Source organism: Homo sapiens, chromosome 20, assembly GCF_000001405.40.
Source record: "Homo sapiens chromosome 20, GRCh38.p14 Primary Assembly".
NCBI lineage: Eukaryota > Metazoa > Chordata > Mammalia > Primates > Hominidae > Homo > Homo sapiens.
Genome location: NC_000020.11, coordinates 1,819,083 through 1,825,157, shown reverse-complemented (window position 1 = coordinate 1,825,157; position 6,075 = coordinate 1,819,083).

Genomic DNA, 6,075 nt, shown 5'->3' with positions numbered 1-6,075 from the left:
TGCTGACTGTTTATGGGGCTCTGAATGCTGGACATTCGCGCTACGCCAACTCCCGGGCAGGAAGTGAAAATTCTGCTTAACAATGAGATTGATCTTATCAGGGAATGAATGACTTTCTGGGAGTAAACAGCTTCCTCACTGACAGGAAAAGTAAGAGGATCAAGTGACCAGGGTGAGAGAAACTCCAGACCAAGCAGGCAGGAGTATAGACCTCCAGCCAGCTGCTCACTCTTCCCTAAAGGCACAATGACTCCATCCTGCAAACTGGGGGTGAACCAGAGTCTCCTTCTTCCTTCTAGAAACATTTCCCCATCCATCCCACCCAGTCTTCTCCAGACCCCATGGCTGACCACAGTTTTAGGCTGCTATCCCTGACTGATGGGCCGAATTGCTGAGTTCTGAGCCCCTCATCTTTGCCCCTAGACGTTGGCTGGACTCTCGACCATCTCTGTTTTCCCCCTCCCCTATGTGGATCAGGGCATTTCAGAAGTAGGCCTAGAACAGATGGTTTCAGCAAAAATATCCCGGGCCTTCCCACCTGAACTCTCCCTGCCCCTCACTCTCTAGAAGAAAAAACAAGTGATGGCAAGGCAACCTGGAAAAATCCACACATTTACACAAGCTCTGATCCTTCTGTACATCTTCATGTTTTGCATGCACCACCACCCACAGACCCTGTGGTCCCTGATCCAAGACAAGGAGGGGGTTAAGAGCAAGGCCCAGCAGACCAGCTAATGACCATCAGTGCTCTTGTGCAACCCACTTCCCCTTCTGAAACTGTGTCCTCCATTGCAAAATGAAGTAAGGGTTTTGACCTTATTAAGCATGATGGGCATGAATTTGAGGTAACACCTGCAAACCATTCAGCTCAGCACTTATCAAGTGGCAAATGCACTGAGCTTGTTGAGGTTGAAATTGTCTAGAACTGGGCACACCCTACACCCACCCTAATGCCTTCAGCTTGAGGTCTGGGCCCCAGCCTTCCTGCATGCTACAGCTTGGAGGGTAACATTCATATCTCGCGGTCATCCTGAGATGAAAGGGAAAATCCACAGGAGAAAGACAGCCAGGGGTCTTGGTGATTGGAAGAAGGCTTTCTTAAGAAGCTTGTAGTGAGCATGATGTTTTTTGCTTAAATAAATCTCTTGATACTTTTGAGGGCAGACAAGGCCTTGGAACCTGGAGTAAAGAGGCTGGGCAGAGTTCTAGGCCCACATGGCGTCACTGGCTGACCTCTTTCTATCTCAGGGTTTCAGTTATCTAATCTGGAAAATGGGGCTTTAAAAGGCACTTCTTTCACAGGTCATTGTGGGGGTCAAATGAGATGGTCTAACTCAGAAATCTAGGAAAGGCCGTGAGAGGCCTGGTGTGGTATAGGGATGGAGAACAAAAAATAACACGAAGAAAAGGAGAAATGAAAGGGGAAATGGAGGGGAAGGGATAACTTAGAGAGATTGCATGCTATGGGCAGTCCCTGAGGCAGTCGCCAAGGCAACTTAGAGAAACAGCAGGTGGTAGGCAGTCAGCAGCTCTGCCACTAGCTTGTTGTGTGACTTCCAGCTGGTTCCCTGCCCTCTCTGAGCCTCAGGGTCCTCATGGGTAACACTGGCCATTCAGACTGGACAACTCCAATGGTGAACTCACCCGCCTCCCTTGGTCCCCTGGATTCCCTGATATGCAGCCGTAAGCCCTGAAGTGCTTGGCTGGGGAGACTAGAGTTGATCACAATTCCTAAACACCTTCACTCCTATTTTCATGGTTGGACCATGGATGGCAAGGAAAGGATCTCAGATTTCTGGAGGTGACAGCTGGGACAGCTGAAGATGGTCAGGTTCAAGCTCCTGCCTGAAGCTTGCCAGACGCTATCTGTCCACTTTTGCTGTGGTCACCTAGTGGGGATAGTGGAAATTGAGCAAATGTGTGTTAGTCATAAATGCCTGGTATGAGAACAAAGCAGTAAGCAAGCCAGATCCAGTTCTTGCTCTCATGGAATAACGTCTGGGGAGCAGGGTGAATAATACATTAGAACTCTGCTATTTGGTGCATATATGTATGTAATTGTTATATCTGCTTGATGAATTGACACTTTTATCAGTATATAATGTTTTTTGTCTCTTGTAAACATATTTGACTATTATGTATAGCATTCGTATAGCCATCTCAGATCTCGTTTGGTTACTATTTGTATGAAATATATTTTTTCATGTTTTCACATTCAATCTATTTGTATCTAAAATGAGTCTTTTGTAGACAGCATATAGTTGGATATTTAAAAAAATTCATCCTGTCAATTTATGCCTTTTGATTGGTGAGTTTAATCCATTTACATTTAAACTAATTACTGGTAATTAGGAACTTTTGCAATTTTGTTATTTGTTTTCTCTCAAATGTGCTGTTGAACTCTTCTAGTGAATTTTTCATTTCAGTTATTGTATTTTTCAGTTCCATAATTTATATTTGGTTCCCTTTTATAATTTCTATCTCTTTGTTGATATTATAATTTGGTTCATATATCATTCTTCTGATTTCCTTTAGTTATTTTTCTGTGGTTTTCTTTAGCTCTTTGAGCATTTTTAAGACAGTTGTTTCAAAGTCTTTATCTAGTAAGTCCAATGTCTGGGCTTCCTTAGGGATAGTTCCTGTCAATTTATTTTATTCCTTTGAATGAGCCATGTTTTCTACTTCTTTGTTGTGTTTTTGTTGTTGTTGTTGTTGAAAACTGGACATTTGAAAAAACAGCTGCCTCTCCCAGGCTTTGCAAACTGACTCTGTGTTACACAATCCTTCACCAAGGTGAAAGCTTCAGGTCTTCTCAGGTCTTTTCTGAGAATGAATCTTGCCTGCTCCTAAATGTGGCTTACTCAATTCCTCCATATGTACAGCTGCTTTTGAATGTCTTACTTTTTCAAAGAATCTTACCCCAGCACCCAGCTTCTCCTTAGGGCCACAGATGGTCTATTGTGTGTGTCCACTCATAATCTCTTGCCCCAGTCATCTATGGGTCTATAGTCTCCCTGCAGCTTCCACCAACAGTGCCCTCAGCTTCCCTCTACCTGAGATTTTAGTTAGACAAAACAGAGAGCTGTCCTCCAGGCAGGCCTCAGACCAGTTAGAGTGTTGCCAGTAAGGTAGGCTTGCTCCCTCTGGCTCAAGGGAGGGAAATGGGCTGCTGTGCCAGGGAGGGGGTTGGGCAAAAGGGAGTAAAAATGCCACAAAACTTTTTCTGCTGTTTGAAGGTGGCTTTTTCTTGATTAGGTATTCACCTGGGTGCTGTAAACCTTTGACTGTTTTCCAGAGCTCCTATATTAGTTCTAAACCAGTCTCTGGTTGTTTTCTTGGTGCTTCCATGGGGTGAATGACAGCTTGGAGCTTCCTAGTCTGCAATTTTGCAGCTGCCACTCCTCCAACCGACGGTACATTAGAAGCATTCAAATATCTAACTGCACATTACAGGGAAATGAACACATCGCTGGTGTGAATGTCTGCAGGGAGGAAGGTACCAGGGATAATTGGGATCAGAAAAGGCCTTGGGGAAGGTATGATTTTTGAACTGAAAGAGAGGAAGGAAAAAGCCAGGAAAGCAATTCAGGAAAGCATAATAGCAAAGGCCTTGAGGTGAAGAAGAACCTGGTTTGTTCTAGGCCCTGTTGGAAGGATGGTGTGGCCAGAGCCCAGGGAGGCCTGGGGATCAGAGCACACAGGGCCTGGGGGCTGGGATGAGCAGCTCGAGCTGTATTCTGTGGGGAGAACCCATGGAGGGCTTTAAGAACTAAAGAGACCTTGTGATTTTTGCTTAAAACGACAAGGCTGCATTGCAGGTAAGGTCTAGAGTGGGAGCAGTGAAGAGGCTGGTGTAGATGCCCCGGTGAGAGATGAAGCTACAGTCTGGGAATTAAGGGTCAGTTCTTGGCAGGGGTCAGAGGAAGCAGAGTTTAGTGGGAACAGCTGGAAGCATCCCTGCAGACTTTCAGAGGTGGACCAGGGAACATTCTTGGCCAAGTCAAACCAAGAATGGTGTTGGGACAAGAGGCAGGAGGGATATTTTTGCCCCTGTGGCTTCCTTTGAAGTTCTAAGCTCTACCTCTCCCAGATGAGCCTTTCCCCAGGGAAAGGAAGACAAACTGTGTCTCCAGGGTTTACAGAACCAGCCTCTGAAAGGTTTTTCAAACAGGAACTGGACCATTGAGAAGATGGGGAAGCTGGGCCCAAGGAAGGGCTGTGGCCATGGCCTCACAGCACATGGTCCTCCTTTATGGGAGGTGAGTCAGGGACTGCATCACCCAGTTCCTGCTAATACTCAAGTGTCAGCATTTTCAGTGCGTTTGAGGTTAAACTCAAGGATTCCAGAGTTGGGCTGGCCTGGCCAGAGTCCTGAGCTTTCTGGCTCACAGAGTGATGCTGTGCTGGCCACTCCCCCTCTCTGAGCCTCAGTTTCCTCATCAGTACCACTGGGGCGATGATAGTCCTCACCACACTGGTTATTGTGAACTGTGTGAGATAACACATGAAGAGCACTTAGCAAGGTACCTGGCTCACAGTGAGTACTCAATAACTGATTTTTGCAATGACATTGCTATTTACTGTGATAAGAGTAAGTATTATCTGGGGACCCTGGTGACAATTTTAGGCACCCAGCAGAACCACAGAATCTCACTTGGTTTGGTTTGGGAGAATGTCAGAGAGTGGTCTCCACTTCCTGTTCCTTATTTAGCCACGGACCTCACCTGTTCTCAGGCCACACAGCCTATCTCATGTCTAAAGTGAAATGTCATGGGTCAAAGAGAAGGAAAGATAACCCGTGACCAGGAGGACCACGAGGACCATTTGAGCTGGAACTTAAGGTTGGGTGGGAGCAACACAGGCCAAGACAGCAGGATGCCATTCCAGGAGAAGAGAGGAGCCACAGCCAGGGCTTAGAAGTCGAAAAATGATTCTTATTCCGTTCGGGTAGGCAGAAGAGAGTGAGTCATTTTGGCCACAGTGGAGAACTTGTGATGGGAGGGTGGGTACAAGGAAATCAGGCTGTAGCTAGATCATGGATGCCAGGGTGGGGGAAATTGGCCTTCACCTTAGAGGTGACGGGGACAGGGGGCTCTGACTGTTTCTGAGAAAGAGAAGGCCATCCTCAGAGCTGGACTATGCGAAGGTCACTCCGTCAGCTTGAATATAGGCAAGAGGCCCAGAGACCTGCTGGAGCCTCTCTGTGGTCTAGGTCAGGGGTGCGGAGGCCCACTCTGGGCAGTGAAAATGCACATGTAAGGAGATCCCACAGGTATGAAGGGGGTAGAATCAACAAGACTTGGCAACTAACTAGAAGGGGCAGGGGTGAGGGAGGACCCAAGCCTGACTCCCAGATGCCAGCTTGGGCAAAGCGGTGGTTGAATAGGGGCCAAGGATGGAGGTGGTGTGGGGAGGAAGATGGCGGGGGTGGGGGCAGCTCTGAACACATCTTGCCTGAAGAGCCCATGGGCCACCTGCACCGGCACTTGCCTCTATAAGTCTGGACTTGGAGATGGGTCTCGGGATTGGGGACAGGTATTTGACAACGTTTATAGCCCTGAGTTTGGCTGGCTTGTTGAGGAGACAGGCGAAGGAGAGGAGGTGGGGCAGGTATGCCGGCTGCTGCTCTCTTTGGCCTCAGCCCTGGGACAAGCTTGTCCATCTCCTCTGCTGCCCTCCCCCTCTTCTCCTCATCTTACTTCCTTCTGGCTCTTACTTAGCTGCGTCATTTTAGGGAACTTGGAAACCAGGCCTGGTGTCTTTAACTTACAAAATTATACACTCCAATGAGCCGGAAAGGGGCTTTTGGAATAATTCTATTGAAAATATGTGGGTTTTCGCCTTGAAATGATCTTCCTGAAATTATCCCCTTTCTCTCTTTATAAATATTAAAAAGAAGGAATCTGAGCTTACTGCTTTAAATCTCTATTCAGGGACTTTTTTTCTTCTGCCTCCCAGGAAAGCAACCAGTCATTTCTGAGGAAGAAAAGGACAAGGCTGGCGCCGTTTCCTTTAACATAACAATCCCACCTCACTTCTGAAATCCACTTTTTGGAATACCCCTGACCAATCCCT